The 19,247-nt window shown below is 37.4% G+C and overlaps 1 protein-coding gene across 3 annotated transcripts in view; it reads left to right on the forward strand.

Annotated features, from left to right (window-relative positions):
* Positions 1 to 19,247, forward strand: part of LOC124906005 (uncharacterized) — a 95,669-nt gene that overhangs the window by 21,630 nt on the left and 54,792 nt on the right. Inside the window, exon 2 of one of the 3 annotated variants that reach the window (XR_007086316.1) lies at positions 7,971 to 8,184. The exons of 1 other annotated variant lie outside the window; for it this stretch is intronic. Coding sequence is in view for 1 of the 2 variants with exons in the window: in XM_047446571.1 (XP_047302527.1) it covers positions 16,744 to 16,890 (147 nt within the window). In the remaining variant the exon portion in view is untranslated. Of the gene's footprint in view, positions 1 to 7,970; positions 8,185 to 16,743; positions 16,891 to 19,247 lie in introns of those variants that run through there. One more of the 3 variants, XM_047446571.1, reaches the window with a different exon arrangement.

The following is a 19,247-nucleotide window of genomic DNA, read 5'->3' on the forward strand; positions in this document are numbered from 1 at the left end:
GCAATACCATTCTGGACATAGGAAGAGGCAAAGATTTCACAACGAAAACTGGATCTACTAGTTGATTTGCCATGAGATCCAGGAGCATCACTTAACTTCTCTAAGCCTCAATATTTTCATACATAGAATGGTGGTTAAGAAAAATAATAGAACTTCTAGGTGGATAACTTTTTTAAAAATCTGTTTACCAGGAGAACCAGGTTCAGGAAGCTTCTGGTTAGATGAATATGTGGAGATTCCTGGAGAGAGGCAGGCCGAGGACATGGAAGATGTGCACGCCTTCCCCCATACCTTGCTTTATGTGTCTCTTCATCAGTATCCTTTGTAATATCCTTTATAATAAACCAGTAAGTGTAAAAAGAAAAAAAAAGTGTGTTTTAGCTGGGCATAGTGACTCACACTTGTAATCCCAGCACCAATTTGGCAGACTGAGGCAGAAGGATAGCTTGAGCTCAGCAATTCTAGATCATCCTGGGCGATATGGTAAAACCTTGACTCTACAAAAAAAATACAAAAATTAGCTGGGCGTGGTGGTACACACCTGTCGGCTCAGCTACTTGGGACACTGAGGTGGGAGGATCTCTTGGGCCCGGGAGGTCAAGGCTATAGTGAGCCACAATCATGCCACTGCACTTCAGCCTGGGTGACAGAGCAAGACTCTGTCTCCAAAAATAACAACAACAAACCCAAAAAAGTGTGTTCAAAGTATTTAATATCATGCTCCTCTTCCCTGTTCCTATAACACTGAATGGCATATAATACTAAGCTATGGTATAGTTAAGAGCTTTTAGATCATCAATAGTACTTACATACACAAGCTGAGACCACCTGAACCTGAGCTTGTGGCCATAAAAATAGGGACAGTTGTCCAAGAGATATGGCCCCCCTTTACATTCTGCCAAATACAGCTGTTCTGGCCTGGGTGGAAGCAACTCACTATGAGCTTCATCCTCTTCCAAACTAGTTGCCATGTCTAAACATGAGCTTCTATTGCTCTAGGTAACCGGTCTTACAGGAGGAAGAAGAGCAAGATCAAAGGGGTGAAGTAAACTCAGAAAGATTCTTAACCTTAAATATTCTCAATCTAGTCTAGAATGTGCTGATTAGACATAATCTAAATAAACACTTGCAGCACTGATAAAATATGTTAATAGGTGAGGTCCTTAGAAGCTTTGCAGGAGACATGTACGGTGTCATAATTGTTTCAGGCCAAATGAAACCCTCCCAACATCATACGTTGTCTAATCCTTCAAGATTTGGGAAGAGAAGGAAAACTTCATGAGCTGAATTTTGCATTGTGGAGAGAGAAGGATGAGGTTGAGTACTTAAAAATACACATTTTATATCTTCGTTGAGCATCTGCTATATAATAAACACTGTGCTAGGCACCAGAAAAAATACTGAACAAAATGGGCATTGTCTTCAGCCCTCACACAACTCACAGTCTAAAGGGATGACATATTTTTAAGTGCTTCCTGATACTAATACAAAGCACATTTGACTATTAAAAATGTTTCCTGTTGTTTTTCCAGATGTCAGTCTCATGTCTTCTCATCCTTCCATATGGTTCTCAGCCTAGATCACTTCAAATTCATTATCCCCTTCTCACACTAACTCTTTTTGGGTTGGGGAGAGCATTCCAAAATCTTTTTATTCTTTTCATTTGGGCTTCAAACCCAGGTGAATCACTACATTCTCTAATAGTAAAATTCCTGAAATTATTCTTTCCACAAACTATCCTTTGGCCAACTTGGAACCTTCTCTTGAGAAAACCATCACTCAGTAGGTGTTTTAGAAGAGTTTTTGTTTTAGTCATAGTGAGACAACAGTTAAGTTCCCTATTCATGCACTTTCCCCCAACTCAATGACGTACTATCTTTTCAAGGATTCTTAAGTTAAATTTAGTGTCAAGATCCAGTCACGGTAACAAATTGATGAGTTTAAACAAACTGCCTCGATGGAAGACAGACCATAATCATTCCTTCCCCCATGCCTCAATACTCTGATCTTCATCAGCAGCTTCTCTTAGCACTATCTGGCCAGAGATTTCTACTTATTTTACACAATTTCTTTGACTCAAACCTCAAGAACATAATTTCCTCCTCCTGACAGCCTATGGCCTTTAAAGGGCATTTCACTTATGGAAAGAAATTAGCCTGAGAGGCTGGCCAAGTTAAATGAGGTCTATCACAGATAAAATTTAGAGAGCAAGAATGGGTAAATAATAATGAATTTATTAAACAATAGCAAATATTATTGAGCCTTTACTGTGTGCTTTATGTGCATAATGACAACACTATGAGGCAGCCACAAGTATTACATCTACAAAAGAGGCATAGAGGTATTAAGAAACTTACACACAATTACACAGCTGAGAAGTAGCCAAGTGAATTTGAGTTCAGACAGAGTAGCTCCAGAAGCCCTGCCCTAAACCACTATACTACAGAAAAATGTTTTACCATAAGACTCAGAAATAAGACTAGCTCATTCAATACTAGTAAGTTTATTATTATTATTATTATTATTATTATTATTATTATTATTATATTTTAAGTTCTAGGGTGCATGTGCCCAATGTGCAGTTTTGTTACATAGGTATACATGTGTCACGTTGGTTTGCTGCACCCATCAACTCATCATTTACATTAGGTATTTCTCCTAATTCTATCCCTCCCCCAGCCCCCCACCCCCCAAGAGGCCCCAGTGTGTGATATTCCCCTCCCTGTGTCCACGTGTTCTTACTGTTTGACTCCCATCTATGAGTGAGAACATGCAGTGGTTGGTTTTCTGTCCTTGTGACAGTTTGCTGAGAATGATGGTTTCCAGCTTCATCCATGTCCCTGCAAAGGACATGAACTCATCCCTTCTTCTGGCTGCATAGTATTCCATGGTGTATATGTGCCACATTTTCTTAATCCAGTCTATTACTCATGGACATTTGAGTTGGTTCCAAGTCTTTGCTATTGGAAATAGTGCTGCAATAAACATATGTGTGCATGTGTCTTTATAGTAGCATGATTTGTAATCCTTTGGGTATACAACCAGTAATGGGATCACTGGGTCAAATGGTATTTCTAGTTCTAGATCCTTGAGGAATCACCACACTGTCTTCCACAATGGTTGAACTAGTTTACACTTCCACCAACAGTGTAAAGGCATTCCTGTTTCTCCACATCCTCTCCAGCATCTGTTGTTTCCTGACTTTTTAATGATCATCATTCTAACTGGCATGAGATGGTACCTCATTGTGGTTTTGATTTGCATTTCTCTGATGACCAGGGATGATGAGCTTTTTTTCATATGTCTGTTGGCTGCATAAATGTCATCTTTTGAGAGGTATGTGTTCATATCCTTTACCCACTTTTTGATGGGGTTGTTTTTTTTCTTGTAACTTTAGTTCTTTGTAGATTCTGGATATTAGCCCTTTGTCAGATGTGTAGATTGCAAAACCTTTCTTCCATTCGGTAGGTTGCCTGTACACTCTGCTGATAGTTTCTTTTGCTGTGCAGAAGCTCTTTAGTTTAATTAGATCTCATTTGCCAATTTTGGCTTCTGTTGCCATTGCTTTTGGTGTTTTAGTCATGAAGTCTTTGCCCATGCCTATGTCCTGAATGGTATTGCCTAGGTTTTCTTCCAGGCTTTTTATGGTTTTAGATCTAACATTTAAGTATTTAATCCATCTTGAGTTAATTTTTGTATACAGTGTAAGGAAGGGATCCAGTTTCAGCTTTCTACATATGGCTAGCCAGTTTTCCAGCACCATTTATTAAACAGGGAATCCTTTCCCCATTGCCCGTTTTTGTCAGGTTTGTCAAAGATCAGATGGTAGTAGATGTGTGGTGTTATTTCTGAGGTCTCTGTTCTGTTCCATTGGTCTATATATCTGTTTTAGCACCAGTACCATGCTGTTTTGGTTACTGCAGCCTCGTAGTATAGTTTGACATCAGGTAGTGTGATGCTTCCAGCTTTGTTCTTTTTGCTTAGGATTGTCTTGAATACTAGTAAGTTTTAAATTTTTGTTATCCTTGGTTACTTGCAAGAGAGATCAGCTTTTAGTAAGATATTTCAGCTTTTGAAGTTTATATTATGTCCCCTCAGTTAACCACTTTTCACACACACATCTTTAATAACATCTGAAAAACATAGTTGATAAAAAATTTGAATGCAGAATAACAATCCTACTAAAAATGGACAAACTACTTGAACATATTGTTTACCAAAGAGGATACACAGATGGCTAACAAACACACACACAAAAATTATAAACATCATGCAACATTAGAGAAGTGCACATTCAACCTACAATGGGATGGAATATGCCACACACCTATTGAAAGTTTAAAATTAAATAGAATCATCATACCAAATGCCAGTGAGCGTAAGGAATAACTAAAAGTCTCGTAAATACTGGTGTTTAAGTAAAATAGTATAACCACTCTGGAAAATAGCTTGGCAATGTCTTAAAAAGTTAAGTGTACACTCACCAATTGAAATAGCCATTCCACTCCTAGGTATTTGTCCAAGAGAAAATAAAGCATATATTTATAAAAGGATTCGTAAGCAAATGTTGATATCTGAATTATTTGTAATAGCCAATACCTGGAAACAACTGCAATATCCAACAATGTCTGAATGGCTACACAAACTGTGGTATATCTATACAATGAGATACTACTGACTGATAAAAAGGCATGAACTATTGACGCATGCAATAATATGGATTAATCTCTCAAAATAGTTATAATGAGTGAAAGAAACCAGACACAAAAAATTACATAGTTTATAATGCCAATTATGTAAAACTCTAGAAAATGCAAATAAATCTCTAGTAACAGAAAACAAAGCAATTGTTGCCTGGGAGAGCAGTAATAGGAAGGGATAGGATGGAGAAATTACAAAGAAGAAACCAATCTACTCACTATCTTTTAGTTATGGTTTTTCAAAACTTATCAAATTGTACATTTTAGTATAAGCAGTTTATAGTATGTCAAGTATACCACAATAAAACTCAGTTTAAAACGTTTTTTAAAAAGTTTTTAAAAATGACCATAACACCCTTATTGAAAAACAGAACTTTTTCCAAAATTTTGACTGATGTTGGTTTGTGGCATTAACATTTCTGGGGAAACTTTAATGTATGTTATTGTGAGACTAATAAGCACCCCAAATATTTCAGTCCTGATGTGTAATTCCAGAAATTTTGATAGGTCAAGGGAAATGTCTTTGCTTTCAGGGAAGCCTCCCTTTCCCTTCAAATCTACCTGGTGGTTTGGCTGCTTTTTCCTGACACAAATTTGAATAGTCCTGACTGCATATGTGGGAGGTGATACTTGATGATCTTCCTGACAAGTCGTCTCATGCATGGAGCCACCTGATCAAACTATTCCCCAGAAGCTGTACATCTGGATCATTTCAGCACGCTTACTTGAAATTGTCAATCATTTCAGAATGCCAGAGAAATCTGTTTTTCTAGGTTGTAGAGAAGAGACTTCTATTTAATGTCTGTAAGATCTCTTGTTTGGTTTACCTTAAGGTTGAAACCCTGCCTGCAGGTGCACATTTCAATTTTCTATAGTACTTATGATTAACTTTTAAGAGTTGTTTGGTTTTGTTATTGACAAGGAAACAAAAAACAAACAAAAGAAATTGCACATGTTGAACGCTTGATGGGTGTTCAGTTAAATTATTTCTAACAGAATATTTAAGACTCAGTAAATATAGTTATTATTTATAAATGTCAGCACATTTAGATTTTCAACTACATAGCATTTCAATACTTGTCAAGGAGATGTATATGCATATGTATATGTATATGTACATGTACATGTATATGTATATGTATATGTATATATATAGAGAGAGAGAGACAGAGAGAACCTAAGCTTTCACAACCTTTTTGTCCACACTATAGTACTATGAAGTAAAGATTACTATAAAATGAAGAATTCTATGATGAATTTTATACATTCTTGAATGTACATTAGAGCTTTTAATACTCTGTGGGTAAAAAAATATGGAAAATAAAACTAAGCAAGTTATGAGCATATTTTATAGATATGTTAGTATTGAAGTATATCATTTCAACCTTACCTTTGAGAAGTACTTGAATCCCTCAAAAATTTAGATAATTTTTAAGGCAACTTTATTATACATTTCTTGTGGTAGAATACATTTACTTTGAGATGGTATTATAAATACACACACATATATGTGTATATTTATTTATACATGTACACACAGTTAATAATCATTAAATATGGTCTGCTTATATTTTTCATCATGCTTCAAACTTGTTATATTCAGAATGCCCACTTATATAAGTATTTCAGTAATAAAATTGGTTTTTATTTTTTACTTTTCATAAGCATGATTTAATTTTACACTATATTATATTTCACATCATGGATTCAGCCCTAGGCAGAATTTAATTGATGCCTATAATAAACTCCGAGTTTTTTATGAGCTAACAAATCCTAATCCTCAAGACAAAAGTATAAACAGGACCAACATTCTTGAGTCACCTAATTGTTTTTTTCTGCTAAAAATTATTATCTTTATTTGATCTATAGCCATATGTGTACCTATATTTATTTATACATACACTCACACACACATTCAAATCCACTTACACAAGCATATATAAACACATTCAACAGCAGAAGGCCAATAGTTATAGTGCTTATTTCTAAACAGAGAAAGATTCCAACATAATTGTATTCTTTAATCAAGAATTAAAAAAAAATTCTGATTTATTTTCTGGGAAAGAATATAATTATTTATTTCTGTTTGTGGATTTAGATGCTATAGAAAACTGTATAAAGTACTGCTCTTCGTAAAATATTGGTTAATATTCAAAATATTGATAGGGTTTAAAAAACTCTATTTGAGATAACTTACATATTAGGTATTTCATGTGCACAATAGCTATTGCCCTTAATAAACTGATTTTTGTGGGCTACAAATTATTAAATAATACTTTTGGATTTATCCTGTGTTTTATCTTTTGGCAAATGATAATTTATGCCTATAGCCCACTGTTCAGTTTTCAATATAGCATAAAAGGGAGTCAAATGCAAATAAAAACATTTTGATAAAACTTCATTCTATATAGAAAAAAATAGATGAGTGCACGTTTAGAAGTAGGTTGATTTCAAGTCAATATCAAATTTCCAGGAATATACCTATTTAAATTATACATAGACAGTTTTATTTTATTGGGAATAAATTAGGTGGAACAACTCAGCATGAAGACAGGGATAAATATTCTCTGAAGATATTATGAGCACCTTTCTAGAATTCTTCCTATAACACAGCCTTATTATCAAATGGGAACTTCAAGCTAACTTAACAGCTATGGGGACCCAAAGGCATACAGACTGGTATAAGGAACATTGAAGACTCAGAGGGGGAAGAGTAGGAGGGGAGTGAAGGATTAAAAATAATATACATACTGACTACAATGTGCAGCATACAGGTGACAGGTGCACTAAAATCTGACTTCACCACTATACAATTCATCCATATAATGAAAAACTACACATACCCCCAAAACTATTGAAATAAAATATATGTGTGTATGTGTGTGTGTCTATGTGTATAATTTTTAAAAGCATACCTTTACATATTTAAATATTTCTCATATTTTCATTATAAATAAGTAATATATGGCAGTTTATCTCTACATTTCAGAACTCTCAAACATAGTGATGGTTACAAAGAAAGACTCTTACCACAGTTGATATTGAAAACTCTTTTCAGTCTTACTTATTGATGTGGTTTGGCTCTGTGTCTGCACCCAAATATCATCTTGAGTTGTGATCCTTAGTGTTGGAGAAGGGTCCTGGTGGGAGGTGACTGGATCATTGGGGTGGGATTTCTATATGCTGGTCTTGTGATAGTGAGTGAGTTCTCAGGAGATCTAATGGTTTAAAAAGCATGTGGCACTTCCCCCTCACTCTCTTTCTCTCCAGCTCCTCAATGGGAAGATGTACCTTGCTTCCTTTTCACCGTCCACCAAGATTCTAAGTTTCCTGAGGCTTTCTAGTCATGCGTTCAGTTAAGCCTGCAGAACTGTGAGTCAATTAAACCCCTTTTCTTCATAAATTACCCAGTCTCAGGTAGTTCTTTATACCAGAGTGAAAATAGATTAACACCAAAAATTGGTACCAGAGGAGGGGGCACTGCTATAAAGATACCTGAAAATGTGGAAGTGACTTTGGAATTAGTTAATGGGCAGAGCTTGGAACAGTTTGGAAGGCTCAGAAGAAGACAGGAAGGGGTGGAAAAATTTGGAAATTCCTAGAGACTTGTTGACTGGTTTTGACCAAATTACTGATAGTGATATAAACAATGAAGTCCAGGCTGAGGTGATCTCATATAGAGATGAGGAACTTATTGGGAACTGGAGTAAATGTCACTCTTGCTACGCTTTAGCAAAGAGACTGGCAGCATTTTTCCCTTACCCTAGAGATCTCTGGAACTCTGAACTTGAGAGAGATGATTTAGGGCACCTGGCAGAAGAAATTTCTAAGGACCAAAGCATTCAAGATGTATCCTGGCTGTCTCTAAAACTATATGCACATATGTGTGAACAAAAAGATTGTATGAAACTGGAACTTACATTTAAAAGGGAATCAGAGTATAGAAGTTTGGAAAATGTGCAGCCTGGTCATTTGGCAGAAAAGAAAAACCCATTTTGGGTGGAGAAATTTAAGCCTGTTGCAGAAATATGCATAAGAAGAGCCAAATATTAATAGCCAAGACAATGGGGAAAATGTCTCCAGGGCATTTCAGGGACCTTTACAGCAGCCCCTCCTATCACAGGCTCAGAGGCCTGGAGGGAAAAATGGTTTCATGGGCCAGGCCCGGTGCCCTATTGCTCTGTGCAGCCTCAGGACTTTGTGTTCAGCATTCCAGCCACTCCGACTCCAGCCGAGGCTAAAAGGGGCCAAAGTACAGCGTGGGCCATGGATTCAGAGGGTGCAAGCCCAAAGCCTTGGCAACTTCCATCTGGTGTTGGGCCTGCAGGTGCTCAGAAGGCAAGAGTTGAGGTTTGGGAAACTCTGCCTAAATTTCAGAGGATGCGTGGAAGTGGCTAGATGTCCAGGCAGAAGTCTGCTCCAGGAACAGAGCCCTCATGGAGAATCTCTACTAGGGAAGCACAGAGGGGAATTGTAGGTTTGGAGCCCCCACACAGAGTCCCCACTGGGGCACTGTCTAGTGGAGCTGTAAGAAGAGGGCCACTGTCCTCCAGATTCCAGAATGGTAGATCCACCAAAAGCTTGCTCCACGCACCTGGAAAAGTCGCAGTCACTAAACACCAGCCTGTGAAAGTAGCCAACGGGGCTTTACCCAGCAGAGACACAGGGACCCAAGGCCTTGGGAGCCCACCCTTTGCATCGGCATGCCCTGTATGTGAGAGATGGAGTCAAAGTAGATTATTTTGGAACTTTAAGATTAACGACTGTCCTACGGGGTTTCAGACTTGCATGGGGCATGTAGCCCCTTTGTTTTGGCCAATTTCTCCCATTTGGAATGGGAGCATTTACGCAACGACTGTACATCCATTGTATCTTGGAAGTAACTAAGTTATTTTTGATTTTACAGGCTCATAGGAAGAAGGGACTTGCCTTGTCTCAGATGAGTCTTTGGACTTAGACCTTTGGGTTAATGCTGGAATGAGTTAAGACTTTCGGGGACTGTTGGGAAGGCATGATGTGTTTTGAAATGTGAGAAGGACATGAGATTTGGGAGGGGCCAAGGGCAGACTGATAACGTTTGGCTCTGTGTCCCCCCCCCCATCCAATTCTCATCTCGAGTTGTGATCCTTAGTGTTGGAGGAGAGACCTGTGGGAGGTGACTGGATCATGGGGTGGATTTCCCCTATGTTCATCTCATGATAGTGAATAAGTTCTCATGAAATCTGGTTGTTAAAAATGCATGTGGCACTTCCCCCCTGCTACCTCTCTCTCTCCTCCTCCACCATGAGACGATGTGCCTTGATTCCCCTTTGCCTTCTGCGATGATTGTAAGTTTCCCAAGGCCTCCAAGTCTTGCTTCTGGTTAAGCTTGCAGAACTGTGAGTCAATTAAACCTTTTTTCTTCATAAATTACCTGGTCTCACGTAGTTTTTTTATAGTGTGTGAAAACAAACTAATACACCTCTCTATGGACTCACCTACCTTGTTATTTAAGAGCAAAATATCTAATAATAGAAGAACTTATGTCATATCACAATGGAGTAGTAATCCATGGTCATAAAAATGATACAGTAGGCTAGGCGTGGTGGCTCACACCTGTATTCCCAGCAGTTTGGGAGCCTGAGGCGGGTGGACCACCTGAGGTCAGAGTTCGAGACCAGCCTGGCCAACCTAGTGAAACCCCATCTCTACTAGTAGAGTGAAACCCCATCTCTACTAGAAATACAAAAAATTAGCTGGCTATGGTGGCATGCGCCTGTAGTCCCTGCTACTCAGAGATTGAGGCAGAAGATTTGCTTGAACCCAGGAGTCAGAGATTGCAATGAGCCAAGATCACGCCACTGCACTCCAGCCTGGGCAACAGAGCGAGACTCTATCTTGGAACAAAAAGAAAAAAGATACAGTAATCTTTCACTATTGATTATTATTTCACATTAATCTCATATAGTCCAATAAGGACAGTTTATAAACTGGCAAAAAATAAAAATAAAGCAAATTTTGGCAAAGAAAAATGAACCCAAGAATTGGAATGGACTATTAACAGTCATAGGGTTTTCCTTTACGTTGATAAAGGTATTTTGGAATTAGAGAGTCATTTTGCAACCTTGTGAATATACTAAAAGCTACTGACTTGTACACCTTAAAATGATGACATTTATGGTTTGTGAAATATATCTAAGTTCTTAAAAGATGAAACTACTTTGAAAAACAAAAGCCTTATGAATATGGTACTTTAAGCATGAACTTAGTTTTTAATCTAATATTACTGCCATGTTGTATTAAATATATTTGTTTCAAGAGTATTCATGATAGTTCACTTGATAATTTTTATAGCAACTCATTTAAAATCCTTGTTAAGTAACACCAACAACTCAGTCATCTAATCCTCGGTATCTGTTGATTGTCTCTTCTGATGCAAGTTGATTGTCTCACATTTCTTTATATGCTGGAATATTTTGAATATTATATCAAGAGACTCTGAGTCTTGTTTAAATCCTACAGAAAAAGTTGGTATTTAGTTTTAGCCTTCTATGGCCATCAGTCCCAATATGAGTTTAATTTTTCATGTATTTACACTATTATTCAGATCTGTCCCATGTGTGTACTACTTAGTGGTAAGTCTGGGACCCATCTTCTCATTTCTAAACATTTTTATGCTAAATAGAATTAGATTTATGTATGTGCAGTTTGGGGATGAGCCCAAAGTTTTATAAACAAATTTATGGTGTCACTTTCCCTCTTGCTCTCCATGGCAGCCCCAGTAATTTTTCTCGTGCTTCTTTTTGATTGTCCAGCTAGAAACCACCTACTTTCATAATTCTACCATGCCTGGGGCTAATTAGTTGGAGGATCAAAAGTGAGAAAGAAAGGCAATTGAGTTTGGATACATTATATTGACGCAACAGATCCACTACATGGAGATGAATGTTTTCTACATTCAGAGCTTTGGCTCCAACAGGCCTCCATTGCTGACTGATGTCAATGTCACTGATCTCTTCACCATGGGATTTCCTGGTGACTGAAGAATGAGAAAGCATAGAAAAAGAAGAGAAAGAAAGTCAAAGGATTTACCCTCATTCTTTTTGAGTTTTAGAAATTCCCTTTCAAGCTCATACATGCAGTACTCTCTACCTTTCTCTCTGCCTGCACTACAATGCTCAATTCCAGGTTTCAGGCTTTGTTGAATTTTAGGCTGGGAGAGACCTGGAAGAAAAAAAAGATAAACTCACCACTAGTTCAATGATGCTCCAAATTCTGGCGTTTTTCTCTGATCCACTTGTTGCTATTTGCTTTTCAAGTTCTCAAATAGCTAGGCCGTGAATTCTTTCCTGGTTTTATAGTTGAGTTCAGTGGAAGTGAAAAGGGGCTTGTGTTAACTCCGTCTTAGCTGGAACGGGAACTCTGTAAGGCATATAATATGCAAATATTATTTAAACAATACATAAGGCATGCAATTTATAAGTAGTAATTAGAAAGAATTATCTTGCCTCAAATTCTTAAAATATTCTATTAAGACATTGTAAAAACCATGAAAATAATTGATGACTATCAGTTTAAAGTTTCCAAGTTTTGCTTGATCAAACTTCTTTATCAAATTATAGAAAATCAGATAAAATTTTAAATAATAAAAACACTGTAAACAATATTTATTGATGTTTTGACCTATGACCTAAGCTTGGCAAAATGGTTTAAATGTGTCCCCTCAGAAAGTGTATGTTAAAAACTTAATCACCAATGAAACAGTGTAGGGAGGTGAGGTCTAGTGGGAAGCATTTAGGTCATAAGAGTTCCACCTTCATGAATAGAAAAATGCTGATAATAAAAGAGCTTCAGCCTGAAAGTTTGATCTCTTGCTCTTTCTCTCTTTCTCCTTGCCCTTCTACCCTGGGATGATGCAGCAAGAAAGGTTTCACCAAATGTCAACTCCTTGATCTTGGACTTCCCAGCTTCCAGGACCATGAGCTAATAAATTTCTGTTTGTTATAATTTACTCAGTCTGGAGTATTCTGTTATAGCAGCACAAAACAGACTAAAATACTTGGCAATGTAGAAATATACAGAAATCTAAAATAGGATATATGCCCTCAAAAAACTTTTTAAACTTATCAGGAAAACTAAATATAAACTAGTAAAAAATTACGCTACAGCAAAAGAGTAAAATAATTTAGGATAACAATGGGAAGAAAAGAGGAAGGCAATGCATGTCTAAATTGACAAGAAACTCTCAAAGTCAAAAAAGATACTATATACTCTTGTGGGGAAAGAGAGATCTTAGCTGGGTCTACAAGAACAGCCAGAATGTACATTGGTAGTAGAGAAGATAGGAAATAATTCTAGGTGGATTGTGCTGCATGAACAAAGTATGACAAGAGAAAATATAAAAATAGATAAGCCAATTTGCCTAGAGATAATGGCTTATGAAAAAAAGTAGGTAACTATGGTGGAAAAAAATCGGCTATGAATGTAAAGCTCTAAAGTATAATTTTGAGTCTACACTTTTTTCTTGGGCATATTTATATCTAAATGCTATGTAATTTGGCTTAATAAATTTAAACAATGTATTTTCAATTGCTTGGCACTAAATGTTTTTTGCTTTTGGTGGGGCAAGGCCCATTGATTGGAGTGCTCACATGGACAAGGGGTAATGAATAGCAAGTTTAGCACAGAGATAATGTACAATATCATCTTTCTATTTCTGGTGACAGAGTTCAGAGAACAGGAAGTCAATTTGGCAGCTTCAGCACAGCCTTGCCCACAATAAGCCTCATGCAGTAGGACAGTTCCTGGATAAAAGCAGGCTAATTCTAGGGTCCGAAAAAGAAATCTCAAGAATCACCTGATAAGAAAGCTGCTCTGACAAACTACTGAAATAAATTATGCCCTTTGATGTATCATGCCAGCTACACTCAGAAGCAGAGATATTTTAGTTATGAAGGAACAGAGTTTGTTGATAAAGATTGTTTAGGTTCTCAGAGACATAGCTTGGGTCCTATGGCACCCAAGAACTGTGTTGTCTAGATTGTATGCTACACCATGTTGTGGCAGATATGTTTAGTTTTGAGAGGCATGTTGCTCATAGATTTCCTACTATCATGTTCTCATTCTTCAATCCTGATGCTGAGATTAGCCCAGTTTAGTTGATCAGTTTTTCCTTTCCTCTATCCCCACTTCTTTCTTTCTCTCTTACTTTTCCAATAACCTATACTCTCTGTAATACCTTCTTACAGAAATACTGCACAGTCTTATAATGATGCATTCTCTGACCCATTGGAATGTAAGACCATAAAGGCAAAGGACACACCTTATCCATCTCTGTATCACCAGTGTACACAATTACTTGATGGTCTACTTTAACAATTATGACTAGAAATGAAGTAAATCAATCCTTAATACACAAAGGAAACTACGTGCTTTGTTCTGTGATGATAATCTCAGAAAAGAATAAATAGAATGAAAAAAATTAAGTGATTGAAATTTTAAACAAGGACTAAAAAACACATTGTGATAAATAACAAAAGCAAAATCCCTAAACATTCATTGTAGGTGACCATGCCAGATATATTCTTTGCATGTTGTATCCCTTTTTATTGATTATGTGACAAAAAATAGCAAATTCATTCCCATCCAAATTTACCAGCCTCTACTTGGTATGATTATTACAGTGCATTTTATGGAACTATGTCAGTTTGTGACACTAAATTCCAAGACAAATCCTATAGAGCTTTGAACTATACCTTACTGTGTCTGACAACTTTTAAACTTGTGCTTTTAATTTTAGCACAACCATATTTAGAACGTTGGTTTGAAAACTTGGCTTTTCTCTGTCCCCATGATTACAGCCTGCAAAGTAATCACAGTCCTTCTCCAGCTTGTTCCTCTGCTCACTGTGCACCTTCATTCAGGTATCAATTGATTTCTAATGAGCTATTAGTTCCAAGTGGCTCTGAAGACAATTAGAATCAACATTGTTTAAACTAAAAGGTAGTAATCACTATTCATATAGACATATGTGTGTTTAATTCCTTACCGGCCACCCACTTTCAAACCTTAGCCTGACAGCAACATTTCTCATACACTTTTGTCTCTAACATCTTCATAGCAACTAGCATTCTAATTTCTCGACTTTTTTTTACTTCTATTTCCCAGTGGGAAATCCAATCTGGTGATATAGTCAGTGACAAAGAACGTGCTAATTAGCAGATGAATGCAATTAGTATTTACCTCAAATGTTTTCAGGTAACTTCTCTTTCTGACATACATAGTTACAGTATATGTCAGCATTTCTAATTTTACACAACATGTACTCAACGAAAACATTGAAACACTGAAGAAAAAGACCACAAACCTAAACAATTCCATGTTAGTATTAAAAAGGATGAGAAATTCGAGCCTTTTCTCCAGTACAGAAGGTGCGTACCTGACCTCTCTGCTCAGCCGGTGATGGCCTTCTCTCAGTCTCCAGAGGAAGTAAAACCCCTTCTCTTCCATGGAGCCATCTTTGTGTCCTTTTGCTATATCACCATACTCATGCTGAAGTCCAAATTTTCTTCACCAGACTTTGACAAGTGTTCACCAATTTTTCTTGGTTCTGTTGCATTGTTGTCTGTTACATAATTCTTGCTTTTCATATACTGTATACTTAGCCTTCTCCAACTAGACTGGAAACGACTTGAAGAGAAAGACTATCATTTATTTTCTGCATATATCACCGTACCGAAAAATACTGCCTTATGTTTCGTAGGCCCTCAATAAACACTTGCTGACTTAGGATCTAAGTATCTCAAGCACCTAACAGTATTAGGGAAATGGATTGATGGATGGAGACATGGAATGACTGATGAATGGATGGAGGAGTCATAGACATCAGAGTAAAAGGGAACCTAATAATAATGGTCTGATTCAGGCACTTCATTTTTCAGATGAGAAAACTGGGACCCAAAAAGAAGAAATGACCTCCATTAAGGACAACACTACTTAGCATTGCAATTTTTATTTTGTATTTGCTGACTCATCTCGATGTAGTGATTCTCAAATCTTGTTCTCTATGCCTTCAACTAATTTTTCGCCTCCTCTGTCTCTGTGTACTTCATTGGGATTATTGGGAGTCTCCACATACCGCAAGTGCTCAATACTTTTAAGAATTGTGGTGGAAATATTTGTTTTTAATCTCTCCCACATATCATACATTTGCTGGGGAAAAACAGATGATTGCCTTTTCTTTGAGTTCTGTACTTCTTCCTGCTTCTCACGTGATTATGCTCAGAATTGATAATGAGAGTGGCTCCATCATTCTGGGCTTGTGACTCTAGTCAGGTCTATTAGACCTGCTTTTCCAAAGATTTTTTCAAATTAAAACTGAGATGAGAGGTTATTTACCTGAGGGCAGAGTTAGGAAGATGTGAGCCCAGGAAGAATAGACAGCCTTCATTGTAGCCTGGGGGAGAAAGTTAAATAATGAGAATAAAATCTACATTTAGAGAGAAGCAAAACAAGGACCAGAGAAGTGACAAAACATTTAGTGAACGCCAAGCAGTCTGCCATAGTTCTACAAACCATCTTTTTTAATACCCACAAGAAATTGTATGAGCAAGGCCATTTTATGAGCTAGCCTATATGGTACCTTTGTGATTTTCAGAAACGCTTTTTTTTTTTTAACTCCAGGCAGAGAAAGACTTGTGCCTGGATGCATGTCTTGGTGAATATACAGCAGGCTGGATTTCAGTCCACAAAAACCCCTCAGCAGGTACTTTGTGCAGTGCACAGCCTGCACAAGTGTATAGTGGCTATAAGCAAAGTTAGGTATATTATTTCCATTTTATGGATGAGAAAATTGAGGTTCTTCTATGTTACGTAACGCTTCTTAAAAATGCAGAGAGTTTTAAAAAAATGCTTGTTCCCATAGTTAGTAACAGAGCTAGACACTTACCTGAACCAAAGGTTTGTGTACCTCTCATCTTATCTAAATGTTTGCTTATCTGTGCTTATTATTGTGCTTGCTCTCTTCCTCCCTTCTCTCTCTTACTCTCTCTCTCTCTCTTTGCAGGTATATGTATACATCTACTCTCAACTCCACTCTCATTCCTCCAATGGTCCATGGTAGAGGCACAGTCAGAAAACACCCTAGTCTCTCTATTTGCATGGGGCTACTCAAGCCAATGGAAAATGCCAGCAGATGTTTTGAAATATGCAGGTACATATCAATAAAAATATAATAGGTTACTTCTAATAAGCATAAATTGATGTTGCTTCTTCTATCCTTAGTCCTTTCACAATTTCCATTTGAAAACAGGACAGAGATAGGGCCAGGAAAGATAGCACGTGTGTGCACACACACACGCACACACACAAGCCCCTTCCAAAATTATGAGAAAGCATACCAGCAGAGCAAAGAGCTTCAAGTATCAGTTTGCACAGAGTTGGAGATTTTCAGTTCTGCCAAATGAGTCTAAATTCAACGGCAACATAAGGAGCTAAATCTGTTGGGTGAGTTATACTTTACCTGGATAAATTAGATGTGCTTGGGGGAAGTATTCATTCTTTCAAGTTGGTAGGACAAATTTCATGCATTGGGACAATTACTTACCAAATACTATAGGCCTAAAAGAGATAACACAGTTTGTAAAGCAGCTGCATCTAATTGACAGTATAGCTTACAAAAAATCATTGATCAAGGGCCTTTTGGTACACCATTATGGCTATACTCACATTGTGAAAAGAGATTGGAATGAGACCAGAGTCTATCCTCCAGCAGTTTGTAATCAAAGCATAAAGCAGAGCCTACTTTTCAGAAGCACTGGAGCACTAGGCACATTTTCAGGAAATAATTATGCCCAGTGATAAAATGTAGATATCCAGTTACCAAACTGAGAAAGGCTGTAGATACTTCACTTCAGAAATGAGAAAAAAAAAAAAAAACTTGAACTTTTAAACTGGTGGAATAAAGGCAGAGCAGGGAAATTTGATATATATGCACAAGATGTGGTCCACAGCCCAGGGCAGGACTGAGTTTACAGGAAAGATGTCTTAAGAACATTGATATGAGGAGCAGGCTACCAGGCTGGTAGCTCTAATTGAACAAAGACCTGACCTCAAGGAATTTTCATTCCCTGGGGAAGCCAGACATATACATAATTAACTGCATTGTGTAATTGAAATGTGTTGTATCAGTACTTCTCAAAATTTAATGCACATAAAAATGTTGGGAATTTGTAGATTCTGATCCAATAGGTCAGGGATGGTTACAAGAGCCTGCATGTCTAATTATCCCAGCTGATGTAGACACTGCTGGTCTGTGGATCAGGTGGCAATACAGGAAATTGTAGACATAGGAAAGTACTATGAGAATGTACAGTAAGAAACGTTCATGGAAGACAATTCTCAGAATATAAGAATCCTGAGCTAAGCTCTGGAAAATGTGAACCAAGAAGATTTGGGTTTTGTAATAAGCTCCAACAAACTGGTGAGCAAAAACTAGATATGCATTGAGGGGCACCAAATACTTGTTACTAGAAGCTTTCATATTAATTTGATCACAAGTATAAAAAATACAACAATAGCCACAATGAAAAAGGAAAGGCCATGGGTACATCTCTTTCAGAATACTAAATTGTAAAACATTTGTAATTTTACAATCTTGGAAATGTAAACTCCAATTTGTTTTTCAAAATAAGAGTTATTGTAATGTGAACTCCGAATTTTCACGTTTGTCCCTTCTCTGAGTAAGCCAAGGGGATTGTGTTTTCATTCTGCTTTTATTTTGCTTGCCTGTTAGGAGAAACAAATTAAGGCCAAAGACTTTGTTTCCATTGACTCAAGCACCAAATGACCTGTTTCAAGATGAGAGTAAACAGCGGTCATGTAGACAGCCTTTAACTATGCAGCAGGTGTTGACACCTGTAGCTACTTAATCCCAGCCAAGATAATTGCCTCTCTCTCAAGGCAGCTGGCTCAAACCAGCCATTGTACCCCCCATTACTGAAACTATTTGGAGATGTTAAGTCATGGCTTTCCCTCAGGTAATACAGGAATAGAGAGGAGATTTGGCTGCTAGGAGGCCACTTTTGTCAACAGTGCATGTTGTTTAACCCACACCCCTGATATTTTGGCGGCCAAGCCTAGAATACAGCACCTGGACAGCAGGGTCTTTAGCCAGACAACATCAGCCAGCAAAGGGCACCACCTGCCAATGGCTACATCTAGAATTGGCTAGAGGAGAAGCGCTGTGTGGGAAGGAGAGCTAATAACGCATTATCAGATTGGAAGTTATTAGCATCATTAAGATCCTCTACTAAATTTGGATAAAATAAATTTGACCCTGCAATTGATTAAGTAATTATTTTTTAGGGTTTAAGGTGTGTATGTGTGTGCGTGCATGCACATGGGTGAGTGCTCATGATGCAAGAGTGAAAATTTCTCCTGTACCCTAACAAACACACACACACACACACACACACACACAGTTTTTTCAGGTTGTAAGCACTACAAATAGGTTCTCATTACACTGGAGATTAGCAGATGCTCATTACCATTTATCAAATTAGGCATGAG

Source organism: Homo sapiens, chromosome 2 (genome assembly GCF_000001405.40).
Source record: "Homo sapiens chromosome 2, GRCh38.p14 Primary Assembly".
Classification (NCBI taxonomy): Eukaryota; Metazoa; Chordata; class Mammalia; order Primates; family Hominidae; genus Homo; species Homo sapiens.